The sequence below is a fragment of the Homo sapiens genome, chromosome 10, assembly GCF_000001405.40.
Source record: "Homo sapiens chromosome 10, GRCh38.p14 Primary Assembly".
In the NCBI taxonomy this organism is placed as follows: Eukaryota; Metazoa; Chordata; class Mammalia; order Primates; family Hominidae; genus Homo; species Homo sapiens.
In genome coordinates, this window is record NC_000010.11 from 123,728,915 (window position 1) to 123,747,083 (window position 18,169).

Here is an 18,169-nt window from a genome sequence, read left to right on the forward strand (position 1 = left end):
GGGGTCCTCTTATAGCTCCTCAAATACAATGTACTCGTGTCCCTCAGAGCCACTGCACAGACTGTCCCCTCTCCCTAAAGAGACCCCGCTCTTATCCTCCCCCTCCCCTACCCCACCCAGTCAGCCAGCTGAACTCTGGTTCATCTTCTGCATCCGGGTGAAAGGTCACCTTCCTTGCCAGTCAACCCCCACCCTCCCACTGCAGTCATCAGAGATGAGCAGCCTCTAAAACCTGCCCTCGAGGTGCACATACATGCCTTTGCTGTCACCTATGTTAGAACCACAAGGCTGGAGTCTTTCCACCTTAAGAGTTCCCAATGCCTATTCGATGGGACCACAGCAGACACTCAAGAAAGGCTTTTCACAAAGCTCATCTTAGAACAAACCTGCATTTTTAGGGATTCTGTGCCTCTTTGAGCCTCTAGGGAGCAAGTAGAGGTGATTTGCAGGGAGAACTTGGGCATTTCCACACCTCTGACCTTACAACCCTCAAGAGCACCAACATCCCGTCCTGATGCTGTGTGATCCCCGCTGCTCCAATAGTACTGTGGGTGTTGGCACAACAGACAGAGCCTGAGCTGGAAAGAGATTCTCACAACCAAAGCTAGGGCTGCAGGCGAAGGACATCGCCAGTTAGCAGCACTATGGAGAGAAACTCTGCTCTGAAGAAAAGTCCGTATATCACTATCCAGAGGCAGTGGATCATGAACAAATACTCCTGTGAGCCAAGTGCACGGGTTTGGTTTGCCTCCTCTGTACTAAAAGGGGTCAGGGTAGGGTAAGCGCTTAGTATGGCTCCACCTGTGGAGCCCTCTGTGAGGCAGCCTCACCTCCTCATTTGCATAATGGAGCTGAGGGGAATTTCCTGCCTCCCCTAGGGGTTGCTGAGAAGAACAAATAAAACGATGGATGTGCAAATCCTCTATAAATTGCAAAGTGCCATGTAAATGAAAAAAATATTTACCCTATATTCCTAAAAAAAGAAAAAAAATGAGGGCAATAGAGTTGACTCCAAAACATGAATTTTTAAAAGCAGCACAGGATCCTTCTCGGCTGTCTGCTGTTCTCTGTGGGCACCTTGCAGGTGCTTAGTTCCACCACCTTTCCTCTGCAGATGAGGACCCTAAGCCAGAGCAGAATGAAGTCACTTGCTTGGAATCACACAGGCAGTGAGTGACAGAGTCTGAACTCAAATCACTTCCTCTTTCTTGTGGAAATAAAGACCAACCAAATGGGAATGAGCTGTTTATTCCGAGCTTGCTTCAGCAAGGGAGGCAGCCATCATCACTTGTGTTTTCATAGAAACTCACAAGAGGAAAGGCAGGGAGAGGCCAGCCACAGTGGCTCACACCTGTAATCCCAACACTTTGGGAGGCCAAGGCAGAAGGATCACTTGAGACCAGGAGTTTGAGACCAGCCTGGGCAGCATAGTGAGATGCCCATCTCTACAAAAAATTTAAAAAATAATTCACTGTGTACGGTGGTATATCCCTGTAGTCCCAGCTACTCAGGAGGCTAAGATGGGAGGATCACTTGAGCCCAGGAGATCAAAGCTGCAGTAAGCCATGTTTTTGCCATTGCATTCCAGCCTGGGAGACAGAGTAAGAGACCCTCTCTAAAAAAAAAAAAAAAAGCAGGCAGAGGAGTGGGAGAGCTTCATAGCAGAAGAAAAGGAAGCTTCCGGTGGTCCCTGACTGGAGGCTGCGGGCACAGGAAGCTGTAGATGGACTAAGTAGAAGCAGAACATTCTATGTCATTGGTTAGGGGAAAAATAAAAATCTAACCTTCTCTGGTTGGTCCTAAGTTGGAAGCAGGGACAAAAACTAGGGAAGCGGTTCTTTATTATTGGAGCCTTGGTCATTTTGGACAGACTGTTACAGAGGTTACTGTGTGGCTTCCTGAATTGCGCTAGATATAGTGGCCTGGCTTCCTGCAAGTCTGACTTATAAATAGTAGGCTGGTTTCCCAGGCTAGTTTTCTGGACTGGTTGCTGCAGGTTGTGGGTCAGAATTCAATTGCTATAGATGGTCAAGCCTTCCTTGCACTATATAGTCAGTCTCTCACTTTCCTGTATCACCTGACTCAAAACCCACTGCTTTCACAAACAGGATGTCTTTCTTTATCAGGGTTTTAGGAACATAGATAATTTTATCCTTAATGAAATAACTAAGCAAGCAAGCACCCTAGGAAGCTCATGACCTTTTCCGTTATCCAGAAGAAGGATCTCATAAAGTTCTTTATTGATCAACTAGAAGAGAGGAAGCAATGTTTGGAAATAGCATGTTTTCATACTCTGTAAATTCAGAATTGTCCAGGATCACTGATAGGTGTTTACCAGGCTGAAAGTTTCCACCCAAATGTGTGAACACAGCAGCATTCACAGCTCCAACAAGGTTAGTGTACACAAACATTTTTATTCTCATCCTCTAATTCCTTTTTGTTGTTGTTGTTGTTGTTGGTTTGTTTGTTTTTGTTTGTTTGTTTGTTTGAGATGGAGTCTCCCTCTGGTCACCGAGGCTGGAGTGCAGTGGTGCAATCTCGACTCACTGCAACCTCCACCTTCTGGGTTCAAGCAAGGCACGTGCCACCATGCCCGGCTAATTTTTTGTATTTTTTAGTAGAGACGGGATTTCACCATATTGGCCAGGATGGTCTGAATTTCCTGACCTTGTGATCCGCCTGCCTCGGCCTCCCAAAGTGTTGGGATTACAGGCGTGAGCCATCACGCCCGACCCTCGTCTTCTAATTCTTAACAATGGCTGCCAAGTTATGAGGTGAGGCCCAATGACAGCTCGGGCAATGTTAGAAATTGTAGGCGATTTGGGGAGGATGCTGGGAAAGGGCCTCAGTGCATAAAGGAACATCTGAAAACAGCTGAAAACAGCCCAGTAACAGTGTTATTCATTTTAGTCACTGTGTAGTGTTTTGGCTTCTGGTATCTAAAGTTCTCAGGCAGATTAAATTATGAAAATGTAAGCAAAATTGTTCCTGAGTTCTGTGTTGCTTATGAGTTGGAGATGTTGACTTTTGCACCATCAGAGAGACCTGAATTGGAGTCAACCCAGAAGCTCTTTGAACCTCATCTTTTAGGAATTTTCATGGAGGCTTCATCATATAGACATGGTAAATTATTAGCCCAGTCTCTATCCCCTGTCCCTCTCCTGGAGGATGGGATGTGGGGCTGGAAGTTCCAAGCTTTTAATCATGGCTTGGTATTTCTGGTGATTAGCTCCATCCAGGAGCCCACTAAGAGTAGCCTCATTGGAACAAAAGGTGCTCCTATCACCCAGAAAATTTCAAGGGATTAGGTGCTCTGTATCAGGAACTGAGGTCAAAGACCAAACATTCAAACAAAAGATACACCTAGCACCTCTATGGCTCAGGAATTACAAGAACCCGGGGACAGAGACTAAATATATATTTCTGATTGTAAATCACACTATCACAATATTGCTCCCCCAAAAATACTCAGGGTCCTGTTCTGACAGATGCAGGGGATATTTAGAACCTCAGGCTGAGTTCCCCGGAAACAGCTTCTGGGATAAGGATGTGTGTGAAAGAAATTTATTGGAAAGTGAGTCCAAGAAAACCTGATAGGGGCGTGGAGACCTTCGATCAGGAAAGGAAGGCACCAAGCAAAGATGTGATGTCAAGGAAAACCTTGGCTCAGTCCCATGGGAAGTTCTGGGGACCGTGTAGAATCCAACTCAGAAATATCCTGATCTAGGAGCGAGAGAGCTGGGGTATTTATAGACTCACACCCATCACTCATTGGTGGGGGAGTGCTCCAGAGAACAGCGTTCCCAGGCACTATGGCTCTCCAAGCACAGGCAAGTGAGCTCTGAAGGCTGAGGGCAGCCCTATGCCTGGAGGGGCCAGTGCCCTCTCTTCGGAGTAAGAGCTCACCTCTCAGCAGTCTTTTGTTTGTCCATTTGTCTATGTAAATGAGATAATAATTTTGTGCCTACTAGGAAAGACAAGAGCTCTTTGATACTTGGAACTGTGAGTTTTTATGAGTAGCAGCTAAAATGGTAGAATTGAAGCTATAAACTATCTACGGGATCATAAGTCTAGGTGTCTATAATTCAGAAAACTACCTTTCATTGTGTATTTGATGTTTTTGTATATCCAGAGCGTATTAATAAATTGAATTTTAAAAGTCTCTTAAATTAAAGGAGCTAGGTTGGGCGCAGTGGCTCACCCTTGCAATTCTAGCACTTAGGGAGGCCGAGGCTGGTGGAATCTTCAGAGGTCAGGAGTTCAAGACCAGCCAGGCCAACATGGTGAAACCCTGTCTCTACTCAAAATACAAAAATTAGCCGGATGTGGTGGTGCATGCCTGTAATCCCAGCTACTCAGGAGGCTGAGGCAGGCGAATTGCTTGAACCCAGGAGGCGGAGGTTGCAGTGAGCCAAGATCACGCCACTGCACTCCAGACTGGGAAACACAGCAAGATTCTGTCTCAAAAAATAAAAAAATAAAAGAGCTATATTTTGGTTGGATACAAACACTTCTAGAAATGAAATTTTCCCAAATTACGAGAAAATAAGGACATTAAACTTTTAATACTTGAAGTGTGTCAGCCAAAGCTAACTTAAAAGCATTTTAGGAATCCATATAATTAAGGTAAATCTTTGGCAAATGAGACTAGTTTAATAATTTTGATTAATAACAAGGCAGCTATGTCTTTCTAATTAATGCTATGTATAACACGAGGTAGATTTTATTCTACTATACACACTGTTTCCTAACCTTATTCAGGTTTACTGCTCAAATAAGCTAGCATTATTCCTAGTTAATGTTTAACACTACAAAAAATGTAAATTTGTGTTCAACTAAATGGTATCATTATTCTGACAGACTGTATACAGACATGCCTCATTTTATTGTGCTTTGCCTTATTGTGCTTTACACATACCTCATTTTTTTTATAAATTGAAGGCTTGTAGCAACCCTACAATGATCCGTTGGTGCCATGTTTCCAACAGCATATGTTCACTTTGTGTCTCTGCATCACATTTTGGTAATTCTCACAATATTTCAAGCTTTTTCATTTTGATTTTATCTGTTATGGTGATCTGTGACTAGTGAGTTTTGATGTTATTATTGTAATTGTTTTGAGGCACTATGAACTGCACCCATGTAATATGGCAAACTTAATCAATGAATGTTGTGTGTGTTCCGACTGCTCCCCTAACCAGCCCTTCCTCCATCTCTTTCCCTTTTCTCAGGCCTTCCTGTTCCCTGTGATAAAACGATATTGAAATTAGTCCAGTTAATAATCCTACAGTGGCCTCTAAGTGTTCAAGTGAAAGGAAAAGTCACACATCTCTCACTTTAAACCAAAAGCTAGAAATGATTAAGCTTAGTGAGGAAGGCATGTTGAAAGTTAAGGTAGACCAAAAGCCAGGTAACTTGTGGCAAACAGCCAAGCTGTGAATTTAAAGGGAAAGTTCTTGAAGGAAATTAAAAGTGCTACTCTAGTGAACACACAAGTGATAACAAAGCAAAACAGCCTTATTGCCAATATGGAGAAAGTTTGAGTGGTCTGGATAGAAGATCAAACCAGCCAAAACCTTCCATTAAGCCAAAGTCTAATCCAGAGCAAGGCCCCAACTCTCTTCAAGTCTATGAAGTCTGAGGGAGTTGAGGACGATGTAGAAGAAAAGCATGAAACTAGCAGAGGTTGCTGCATGAGGCTTAAGGAAAGAAGCCGTCTCCATAACATAAAAGTAGAGGGTGAAGCAGCAAGTGCTAATGGAGAAGCTGCAGCAAATTATCCAGAAGATCTAGCTAAGACCACTGATGAAGGTGGCCACACTAATCAATGTATTTTCAATGTAGACAAAACAGCCTTACATGAGAAGTAGATGTCATCTAGGACTTTCATAGCTAGAGAGAAGTCAACGCCTGACCTCAAAGCTTCAAAGAACAGGCTGACTCTCTTGTTAGGGGCTAATGGTGACTTTAAGTTGAAGCCAATGTACATTTGCCATTCTGAAAATCTTAGGGCCCTTAAGAATTATGCTACATCTACTCTTCCTGTGCTCTATAAATGGAATAACAAAGCCTGGATCACAGTACATCTGTTTATAGCACGGTTTATTGAATATTTTAAGCACACTGTTGAGACCTACTGCTCAGAAAAAAAGATTATTTATAATACTACTGTTATTGACAATGTACCTGGTCACCTACAAGCTCTAGCAGAGAAGTACAAGGAAATGAATGTTGTTTTCATGCCTACTAACACCACATCCATTCTGCAGCCCATGGATCAAGAAGTAATTTTGTTGTACAAGTCTTCTTATTTCAAAAATACATTTATTAAGGCTATAGCTGCCATAGATAGTGACTCCTCTGATGAATCTGGGCAAAGTAAATTGAAAACTTTCTGGGAATAATTCACCATTATAGATGCCATTACGAACATTTGTGACTTATGTGAGGAGGTAAAAATATTAACATTAACAGCAGTTTGAAAGATGTTGTTTCCAGTTCTCATGGATGACTTAGGGCCCAAGACTTCAGTGGAGGAAGTAACTGTAGCAGATATGGTAGAAACAGCAAAAGAACTAGAATTAGAAGTGGAGCCTGAAAATGTGACTGAATTGCTGCCATCTCATGATACAACTTTAACTGATGAAGAGCTGCTTTTTAAGGATAAGCAAAAAAAAATTTTCTTAAGATGGAATCTATTTGTGGATATGCTGTGAACATATTGCCACAGCAACCCCAACCTTCAGCAACCACCACCCTGATCAGTTAGCAGCCATCAACATTGAGGTAAGACCTTCCACTAGCAAAAAAATCAGGACTCCTTGAAGATTCAGACGATCATTAGTCCTTTTAAAAATAAGGATTTTTTTTTTTTTTTGAGATGGAGTCTTGCTCTGTCACCCAGGCTGGAGTGTAGTGGCGTGATCTCGACTCACTGCAACCTCCGCCTCCTGGGTTCAAGCTATTCTCCTGCCTCAGCCTCCCAAATAGCTCAGACTACAGGTACATGCCACTAAGCCTGGCTAATTTTTGTATTTTTAGTAAAGACAGGGTTTCACCTTGTTGGCCAGGCTGGGCTTGGACTCCTGACCTCTAGTGAGCCACTGCCTCGGCCTCCCAAAGTGCTGGGATTACAGACGTGGGCCACCATGCCCGGCCAACAATAAAGTATTTTTAATGAAGGTATTTACATCATTTTCTTAGGCATAATGCTATTGTATACTTAATAAGTCAGTATGGTGTAAACATAACTTGTTTACACCATAAATGCACTGGGAAAACCAAAAGTTTGTTTCACTTGCTTTGTAGTGTGTCAGCCTGAAGATACTTTCCAAGATCTTTAAGTAATTCAAACATTTGGATGATATTAAATTGCATTAAGTAATGGATAATCATGGGATGCCTAGATCATTCCTAAGATGAATACTGAAACACTGATTATTCAGCATAATTTTGAATTTATAGGTGTTTGCTGCTTAATTTTTAAATGCTTTGGGCCATATTAGTGAACATGTACATTTTTGCTGTTTGTAGAGGTTCTTTAGGAGAGGTAGGTATATGGCTATAGAAATTGTTGCATTAAGGAGCTGTTAATTTGCTAAAATGCTGGTACGTGATAGCAGTTCTCAACTAATGTTTCACAGTTTGCTCTATGAAAGAGACATTATTTACTTTACTTAAAATTGTAGTTGATATAAGTTGTTGAGACTATGCTAAAAACAACACTAATAGAGAAATACAACAGTGTGTGCTTGTCTTTCAAGGAAAACAGTAGTTTGGTCTTAAAGCAACATTTCTCAGATGTTTTTGGTCTCTAGATAACTTACACTCATAAAACTTATGGAAGACCTTATAAAAATTTTGATTTTTAGGGTTATAACTATCACTGTTTTCTGTGTTGGCAATTGAAACAGAGAATTTTATTTTTTTTAACTTTTATTTCAAGTTCAGGGGTACATGTGTAGGTTTGTTTCAAAGGTAAACTCGTGTCATGGGGGTTTGTTGTACAGATTACTTCATCACCCAAGTATTAGCTATTTTTCCTGATCCTCTCACTCCTCCCACCTTCCGCAGTGGGCATTGTTCCCCTCCATGTGTCTATGTGTTCTCACCATTTAGCTCCCACTTCTAAGTGAGAGCGTGCAGGATTTGGTTTTCTGTTCCTGCATTAGTTTTCTAAGGATAATGGCCTGCAGCCTCATCCATGTCCCTGCAAAGGACATGATCTCATTCTTTTTCATGGCTGCATAGTATTCCACGGTGTATATATACCACATTTTCTTTATCCAGTCTACCATTGATGGGCATTTAGGTTGATTCCATGTCTTTGCTATTGCGAATAGTGCTGTAATGAACATTTGTGTGAATGTGTCTTTATAATATAATTATTTCTATTCCTTTGGCTATGTTCCCTAATGGGATTGCTGGGTCGAATGGTATTTCTTGTCTTTAGGTCTTTGAGGAATTGCCACACTATCTTCCACAATGGCTGAACTAATTCACACTCCCACCAACAGTGTATAAGTGTTCCTTTTTCTCCACAACCTCACCAGCATCTGTTATTTTTTGACTTTTTATTAATAGCCACTCTGACTGGTGTGAGGTGGTATCTCATTGTGGTTTTGATTTGCATTTCGAAACAGAGAATTTTTTAAACGCTTGTTTAGAGATAATTTGAAGAGAACAGCAGTGAATGTACTGCATGTTAATAACATCTTAGTATTATTATTCAATTAGTCCTGACCTCACAGACTCCTGATACCTATCTTCAGGTAAAGTGTCAATTTATTCCAGAATATGAATGAGCTTACAGAGAACCAACTTGGAAAGTGAATTTTATTTGCCTTGGTTTTTAATTCCTGAACTGAGAAACTCTCCCTGAGGCTCCCTACTTTGTATGGCTTGATATGGTTATTTGCATAGTAGGAATCTGTCCTCCTTTTTCACTAGGATATAACCCAAAAAGTTGGTTATGCAACTGATATGGTTTGAATCTGTGTCCCCACTCAAATCTCATGTTGAAATGTAATTCCCAATGCTGGAGGTGGGGTCGGATGGGAGGTGATTGAACCATAGGGGTGGTTTCTAATGGTGTAGCACCATCCTCTTAGTGCTGTTTTCATGGTAGAGTTCTCATGAGATCTGGTCATTTAAAAGTGTGGTACCTCCCCCTGCCCTCTCTTTCTCCTGCTCCAGCCATGTGAAGTGCTGGCACCTCCTTCACCTTCTGCAATGATTGTAAGTTTCCTGAGGCCTCCCCAGAAGCTGAGCAGATGTCACCATGCTCCTGCATAGCCTGTAGAACTGTGAGCCAATTAAACCTCTTTTCTTTATAAATTACCCAGTCTCAGGGGTTTTTTTTGTTTTGTTTTGTTTTGTTTTGATTTTTTGAGACAGGGTCTCACTCTGTTGCTCAGGCTGGAGTACAGTGGCATGATCATAGCTCACTGAAGCCTTGACCTCTTGGGCTCAGGTGATCCTCTCACCTCAGCCTCCTGAGTACCTTGTACTGGAAGCACACGCCCCCATGCCCAGCTAATTTTTTTGTATTTTTAGTAGAGATGGGATATTGCCATATTGCCCGGACTGGTCTTGAACTCCTGGCCTCAAGGGATCCTCCTGCCTCAGCCTCCCAAAGTGTTGGGATTACCAACATGAGCCCCCTCACAGGCCAGGCATTTCTTTATAGCAATGGGAGAATGGACTATTACAGCTACCAAAGTCTTGCCTGGAATGTCATATTTGAAAATGATGCCTATTTAATGAGGTATGGTTATGTTTTTTTAAAAAACAGCCTTGAAGTGAAATAATCTATACCACACAGTTCACCTGTCTAAAATATACAATGGCTTTTCAGAGTTATGCAGCCATCACCACAATCAGTTTTGAAACACTTAACCACAAAAGGAAGCCTGCACCCCTTAGCCTTCACCCACCCCAACACCTCCTGAATCTCCTATCACCCCAGCCCCAGGCAATCACTAATCTGCTTTCTGTCTCTACGGATTTGCCTGTTCCGGACAGTTCATATAAATGGAACCACACAATATGTGGCCATTTGTGACTAACTTCTTTCACTTAGCATAATGTGTTCAAGGTTCATCCATGTTGTAGCATGTATCAGTATTTCATTCCTTTTCATTACCAGATAATATGCCACAGTCTGAATATGCACTTTTTGTTTATCTGTTCACCCCTTGGCATTTGGGTTGTTTCTACATGTTGGCTGTCATAAATAACGCTGCTGTAAACATTTGTGCACACATTTTGTGTTGACATATGTTTTCATGTCTGTTGGGTATATACCTAGGACTAGGATCGCTGGATCATATGGGAACTCCATAGTTAACATTTTTAGAAACTGTTGGTCTGTTCTGTAAAGTAGGCTGCACTCTGCTCTAACAATAGCCCACTTTTGTTTCAGATCATTTCCATGCTAAACGTCTAAGCATTTCAAATATATTACATCAAATTGAATCCCCGTGACAATTCTAAGAGGCAGAGCCTCTTAAGATGTTTCTACATCTTAGAGATGTAGAAACAAGTCCCAGGGAGATGAGGTGACTTGCTCAATGTCACCCAGATGGTAAGAGGTGGCACTGGGACCAAACCAAAGCTCATCCACCCCAAAGCTCCATCTTTTCCTTCTTGATCCCATCCCCAGGTAAGTGCAGTGAGGAGGGCTTTTTTCTTTCTCCAGTGGCCTGGGGCTGCCTTTCTCCACGGACCTCAAGGCCCCCTCTCTTGCTCTTGCCCCAGCCCTGGTGCCGTTTGTTCCCTGCAGGTTGGCAGAAGGCCCAGAGATGGAACCTGATGCTGTGGAGTCACTGGGCTTCCGGGAGCTGGAAAAGAGCGGTGCCCAAAGGATGGGATCATGGCCTTTGCCATCTCCCCCTAGTCCCGACAGGGAGCCTGACAGCTGTGCTCATGCTTAGGGAGGATGAAGAGCATGGCAGAGTCAGACAGGAGGCCATTATTTTCAATGAAAATGCACTGAACACCGACCCCATGCAGTAAGGGTTTCCATGGCCAGGAAACCTGCTTCTGTAACCGATTGCTTCCCTCCTGGGCTCAGCTCCCACTTCCCTCACCGCTCAGCTAATGCAGCTTTCAAGAGCAAAGTAAGGAGTGCATCAAAACAGCTGCTTCCATCCTGGTGATGAACTTGGAAAAACTATACTAGAACATCTGACTACATACATCTATGCACACCCTCAGCCTCAGCTTCCTCATTTGAAAAATGGGAATAATAATATTTACCCCTAAATGTAGTTGTGAAGATGACAAGGGATATTGAATAGCACACTGCTGGGAACATAGTACCTGAAAACAATAATCAGCAGCTGCTCTGCCTCTCAGTGCTTGCCATGTGCCGGGTGCCTGTCTAAATGCTTTTCACTGGAACCCCATGACATGCAAGGTAGGCCCTATTTACTATGCCCATTTTTTTTTCTTTTGAGACAGAATCTCGCTCTGCTACCCAGGCTGGAGTGCAGTGGTGTGATCTCGGTTCACTGCAACCTCCGCCTCCCAGGTTCAAGCGATTCTCCTGCCTCAGCCTCCTGAGTAGCTGGAATTACAGGCGCGTGCCACCACGCCCAGCTGATTTTTTGTATTTTTAGTAGAGACAGGGTTTCACTGTGTTAGCCAGGATGGTCTTGATCTCCTGGACCTCATGATCCCCCCACCTCGGCCTCCCAAAGTGCTGGGATTACAGGCATGAGCCACCGTGCCTGGCCTACTATGCCCATTTTATAGATGAGTAAACTGAGATTCATAAGGTACATAATTTACCCTAGGTTGTGCAGGGACCTAACCCGTGTCACTATACTTCCCTGGGGATGGGATACAGAAGGAAAAGATGGAGCTTTGGGGTGGATGTGCTTTAGTGTGGTCCCAGTGCCACCTCTTGCCAAATGAGCGACTTTAAGCAAGTCACCTCATCTCCCCGGGACTTGTTTCCACATCTCTAAAACGCGTATAGGAATCTCTGCCTCTTAAGATTGTCACGGGGATTCAATGCAATGTAATATATTTGAAATGCTTAGACCTTCAGCATCAAAATGATCTGAAACAAAAGTGGGCTATGGTGAGAGTGGCACATCTCCTAGTTATTTTTTGTTATTTTTGTTATTTTTTGACTTTTGAACAACAGGCATTCTGACTGGTGTAGGGTGGTATCTCATTGTGGTTTTGATTTGCATTTCAAAACAGAGAATTTTTTAAATGCTTGTTTAGAGATAATTTGAAGAGAACAGCAATGAACGTATTGCTGTCCGACACTTTGCTTTACTGACCGCTATCCTGAAGGCCTTGGAGGTAAGAGAGGCCAGTGGGTGCTGACTCACAATGACGGACTGACATTTCAGTGGATACTCACCACTCAGCCTTGCTCAGAGAGGCTGGGAGAGGGCTCCAGAAAGTGGCCTTCCCTGCAGATGTTGACACATGTGTGAGGCAGGGACAGAGTCCACTACCCGCAGCACCTGTGAGCACCGGGTAGAGCCACTGTCCCCTTCCTCTGTCAGGCTGGCTCTCGAGACAGATCAGATAACAAGAAATGCCAGGGTGGTGCTGATCCCCCCAGTGCCCAGCACACCAACCAGGCTACAAAGGATGTGGAGGCTGCATATAGGATGGGCCTTAACAACCGCAAATCAAATTGGGCGTTACCAACCGTAAATCAAATTGGGCATTACCAACTGCAAATCAAAACCGTCAGCTTTTGGGAAGTCAGGACATCATTGGCTCTTAGGTCATCTCAAGCTGACAGGGAGCTATAATGGCAAAAGACATCCAGAATCAGGCCCAGTGAGCTTCCCCCGGCTCTGCTACATATTCAATCAGCTCCCTCTTAGCAGATTCCCCAGCCATGTTCATCACACAAGGGCTCCATCCTTTATCCTCTGGTTGCTAAAATGCACCCATAGTTCCCAATGTTCTGTCACTGCCCAGGGCGTGAGCTGCTCCTGGGAAAGCTGGCCCTGCAGTTCAAGAGGCTCAGCCCCCAGGCCTGCGCCGAGACCTAATTACAGGTTCCCAGTCAAGCAGTGGAAAGAGCACTGTCCTGAGAGTTCAGCCTCTGCCATGAACTGAAATGGGACTTTGGACACTTCATGCCCCTCCCTGTGCCTCATTTTTCCTGTCTCTACCCCCAGGCGGACTAGACTAGCTCAGGGATGGAAACAGCAGGCATCCTTGCCCTCACCTTTGCCATAACCAGAGCAGACATAGGTAATCAGCTGGAGCATCTCTTCATTAAGCCAGCTCTCTGCCTCAGAATTCTTCTTAACACAGAGCTCCAAGCAAGGACTACCAATAAACCAGAGTGGGCCTATAAGAGGAAGCCTAGGTGCCATCCCAGGCTCCTTGACCTCATGGCTGCCCCTCAGCTCTAAAGACCTGCCATTGTCCTCTGTATACACCAGAAGGTACTGGAAGGCTCTGCCCCATGTGTTTCAGCTCTCTGAACTTTTTTTTTTTTTTTTTGAGATGGAGTCTCACTCTGTTGCCCAGGCTGGAGTGCAATGGCGTGATCTCGGCTCACTGCATACTCTGCCTCCCGGGTTCAAATGATTGTCCTGCCTCAGCCTCCTGAGTAGCTGGGATTATAGGCATGTACCACAACACCCAGCTAATTTTTGTATTTTTAGTACAGATGGGGTTTCACCATGTTGGCCAGGCTGGTCTCGATCTCCTGACCTCGTGATCAACCTGCTTCAGCCTCCCAAAGTGCTGGGATTACAGGTGTGAGCCACCACGGCAGGCCATGAACTTTTTTTTTCTGATTTTCCCTTGATTTCCTGTGAATTGGCTGGCAAGTTGGGGATGTCTATGTGTCAGGGGGATCGACAGACAGGAGGAAGAGCACCCATGGTCTCAGGAGAGGTCGCCCTAGTACACAGAGCTCAGTAGTAGAGGCAGACTTGGGCTGCTGTGAGCCAGGCTCTGCCTCCTTCTGGCCAGTCCTGCTGGGCTGTGGCTCCGTAAGCAGCAGCTCCCTCCACACTGTGACCACCCACTGGGATCGGGGACACAGCACAAAGTGGTATGGACATGTGGGCTTCTTCAGGCAGGGTGGCAGCCTCCAGAGCTGATTCTGAACCTGCAAACCTGGGACTCTTCCCTGGCATGATTGTGTGCTAACATCACATGACAGTTTCAAGGTGTTGTAATGCCCTTGTGTACACTGAATAATGCCTAGGGGTTCCTGGTAAAGACTGGGCTCCAAAACTCATAGAAAGTGGGCTGTGATTGCTGACAAATGCTGATTTGAGCTTCTTCTCTGCACAGCTCCTTAAATGCCCCTCAACATAAAACAGACATGAAAGAGGGTGAAGCCGCTGCGGCCCTCCTGGGACCCACGTGGGAGGATGAAGACAGTAAACAGGCACTAGACTCCGCCAGAAGCAGACGCACCACGTTGGTTGATTTTATCCTGCAGAAAAACATCTCAAACAGCCTGTCAATCTCTGGACATGTTTCTAACTCAGTCAAGTACCAGGTTTCACTTATAAAAATGAAGACTCTTCAAGAGGTAAAAAGACACCAAATACATTCAAAGTATAGATTTTCAATTTCTCAAGTCACATTTTCTGAACGTGTTAAGGGAATCCTACAAACAGGGCAGCACATGGCAGAGGCTGGCTCGGCTTCACACGTGTTCATGGTGCAACTGCTGCAGTGGGGAGCAGCCCCGCAGGAGGAGTGGGAACCGAGGAGGATGCAGGTCCTGCCCTTGGGAGCTTCCAGACCAACAGCAGAGAGAACCTGAAGTAACACAACTCCTCTGAGAGGCCCTGAGGGCTCTGCAGATTTGTTCAAAGGAGTGAGAAATCACCATGGTCCTGAGAGGGGGAAGGCTTCCTGGAGGAGGTGGCATTTGAGACAGGACTGGAGAGAAGCAGGAGGGTTTTCAGCTGTGAGGAGAGATAATATATGCAGAGGCCCAAGCTGAACCTAGGGAAAGATCTAGGAGGGTAATTCCGGCTGAAAAGCAGGAGAGAAGGCAAGTAGGAGGGAGGTTCCGGGCTCCGGGTTAAGGAAGGTTATGTGGGCTTGAAGGTCCAGTGAGGAGTCGCTGTGTCACGGAAGGGCTGAGGAGAGAAGTGACTCCAACAGAACAGAGCTTTAGGAATCCAGGATGTCGGCTCTCTGCCAGAAATCTTCGGACGCCACAGCCAGCCTGACCTTTACAGTCTATGAAGCCTGAGGGCTTTACTTTGCAGGAGTAGATGAGAGATTAGAGAGGATGCCTGACCTGAGATCACACACCAAACAGCCCTGGCCAGTCCTGAATGCAGAGCCCCTGCCTGCGAGCCCAAGGTGCCTGCAAACGGGCTCAGTTTGGTGACAAGGCTGCAGGGAGGGTTGAGAATGGCATGGATGCAGTAGGCTGTGTGCAGTAGCCCTGCAAGTTCCAGAGCTGACTACTGGAAATAAGACCGGGCCATCTCGGCACCAAGGGCCAGGACCTGGCTTCTGGGTCAGCATGGCAGGGACTGGACAAATCCACAATCTTCCAAGCAAATGTGGGATTGCTCGGGTTTAAATTGTGGGTCCAGGACATGTCTCAAGGGCCCAGAAGGGTCACTTGCACCATCGTCTCTTTCACCCCTGCAACTCCCCCTTCTGAACTGCAAAGGTGGTTTATAGTTTTAAATGCTTTATAGCACTGCCTCCATATCTACTGCTGTGAGGCTCAGATTTTCCTACCATGGGCTTAGTTGAGAGCTGTGTGGTCCAATATGTAGCCTTTAGCCACAAGTGTCTATTAAAAGTTTAATTAAAATGAACATTCTATAATAGAAGAAACCCAGTTTTTAAGTTTCACTGACCACCTTTAAAGTACTCAATAGCCACACGTGGCCAGCACTGTGGCATTCGATAGCACACAATAGGACATTTCCATCATCACGGAAAGTTCTATTGGCCAACACTGGCTTATAGCAGGAGCTGACTATGTCTTAGCTTGCAGGCCAAATCCAGCTGCCACCTGTTTTTGTAAATAAAGATGTACTGGAATGCAGCCATGGCCATTCATTTCTTTTCTTTTCTTTTTTTTTTTTTTTTTTTTTTTTGACAGAGTCTTGCTCTGTCATCCAGGCTGGGGTGCAATGGTGCAATCTTGGCTCACTGCAACCTATGCCTCCCGGGTTGAAACGATTCTCCTGCCTCAGCCACCTGAGTAGCTGGGACTACAGGCATGTACCACCATGCCCAACTAATTTTTGTATATTTAGTAGAGACAGGGTTTCATCATGTTATCCAGGCTGGTCTCAAACTCCTGACCTCAGGCAATCTGCCTACCTCGGCCTCCCAAAGTGCTGGCCCATTCATTTCTGTACTGTGTATGTCTGCTTTTGTGCTACAATAGCAGAGCTGAGTGGTTATGACAGAGACTGTATGGCTTGCAAAGCCTAAGCTATTTACTGACCCTTTTAAAGAAAAGTTAGCTGACCCTGAGTATAGATTGTGCAAAAGCTGTATGAGAATCTTTTCTCTAAAGATGCTTACTGGCATCTCCAAGAGCCAATAGTGGGTCCCAAACAAGTGTCTCTCCTGGGAAAGAGGCAGAGAACATAGTGCTGTCAGCATCAGTGCTGAGCTTAGTGGGGGTGCAGGATGGCCACCCCTAAGCAGGCACCTTGTCTAGGCTGACCAACCTCAGAAAGAGGTAGTGGGGTGGCTGCAAGCCTACCCAGAAAAGTCACACACACCAGAAGGGTCTTACCATTTGCTTTATTTTTTTTTTTCATTTTTCCCAGGTCAATGAGGCAGCAACATTAACAAAAAGTGAGACATACTTTTTTCTTGCAAGATAATTCAATAATTCTTCCCAAACTGATGCTCCACAGATAATCCTAAGAGGTTTTCATTACATTTAGCCTAATCTGGAAGATCTGGCATTCTACATATCAAAAATAACTCCCAGGCTGATATGAGGCCAACCCATGAGCACTCAATTCCACACAGGGGCAATACCTCAAGCAGAGAGAGGGCTTCAGGCCACCCCACTTCTGGCTCTTTCCAGTCCTAGCAGGTAAAAGAGGAGATCCAGGCTAAATTTTCTGGCCCTTCAGGAAGGCTGGCACCTCTGGCTCTCCCTACCTGGGGAACCTCCAGGGCTACTGGATCAGCAGGGACTTTGGGGGTTGTTTATGGACCCAGAATTTGTGCAAGAAGCTCCATGCTTGCTGCCCAACAAACTCCTGAATGATCTCAGCCTCTCTCTCCTTTTCTGAACACACTCCTTTGTTGAAAAAGGAGACTAAACAGATTCAAGAGGCTCACTGATGTGCACTTGGCAATGACGCTATTGTCAAAAGAACACAGAATTTATTTGTAGCAGCTTGCAATGTCCCAGGGCCAGAGAGGGTGGATTCTCTTAGGACGCCTGGGAGCATCTCAAATGGTAACATTTGGGACAGCCCAGCTGGGGAAATGCTGCAATTTTAGCTGTGCAAATTGCAAATGCACGTGGAACCCTTGCTGCCACGCAAACAGGGGAAGCACCAGAATCCTTTTCTATGCAGCCAGAGGCTCTGAACGGACAGGCTCCCCTCCTTCTCCTTCTCTCTCTGATTCCCAGGTTGGCTTGCTGAGTTCTCTCACTCCCATCAGCTTTTCTCTGCTGCTCTGTCCAAGTTATTTGGATAAATGGGAACAAAGAAAAGAAAACAGCCTCAGCCTCCAGCCTTCCCTTTTGGGACCTGCCTCACAATGCACCCTCTCTTCCAGGCACTTCTTGAATTACAGAGGAAACAACAGTGAGTGAGTCCACTATGGAGCTACTACCAGGTTGGTTTAATTTGCATGGGTCCCAGACGAGTCTCAAGGGCCCAGGAGGGTCACCCACGCTGTCGTCTCTTCTGCCCCCGCAGCTTCAGCCGCCTGGCTGGCAGGCTGACGGGCTGCTTCCCAAACTTCTCCATGATCTCTCGGATCCTGGCCATGTTGGTTTTGCTAAGTGTGAAGTCACACCTTGTGGCCCCCATGTCATAGCCAACCATACAGTTCTTGGTGGATGCAGTGAAACCTTCGGCCTTTGCTGTGACCACATACTCTCCAGGGTTCAGGAGGCGCCAGTAATCCCCATCGTTGGCTGTGAAAAAGAAAACCAGGGGAGACTCAGAGCAGCTCTTGCTAATGCAGATCCCGCCAGCCCTCC

At 45.1% G+C, this 18,169-nt stretch overlaps 1 protein-coding gene across 5 annotated transcripts in view, besides 1 other annotated feature; it reads right to left on the reverse strand.

Moving 5' to 3' along the window:
* Positions 453-952: an enhancer, noted in NCBI's record as "H3K4me1 hESC enhancer chr10:125488883-125489382 (GRCh37/hg19 assembly coordinates)". NCBI's record gives its function as "activates a minimal SCP1, AML or CMV promoter by ChIP-STARR-seq in naive H9 embryonic stem cells {active_cell/tissue: H9 hESC(naive)}" and the evidence as "EXISTENCE:reporter gene assay evidence [ECO:0000049][PMID:30033119]".
* CPXM2 (carboxypeptidase X, M14 family member 2) overlaps positions 16,725-18,169 on the reverse strand; it is a 198,466-nt gene continuing 197,021 nt past the window's right edge. For all 5 annotated transcript variants that reach the window (XM_017015673.2, NM_198148.3, XM_011539285.3 and 2 more), the window contains one exon: positions 16,725-18,103. In XM_017015673.2, the coding sequence (XP_016871162.1) occupies positions 17,850-18,103 (254 nt within the window). In that variant the 3' untranslated portion in view covers positions 16,725-17,849. The remainder of the gene's footprint in view (positions 18,104-18,169) is intronic.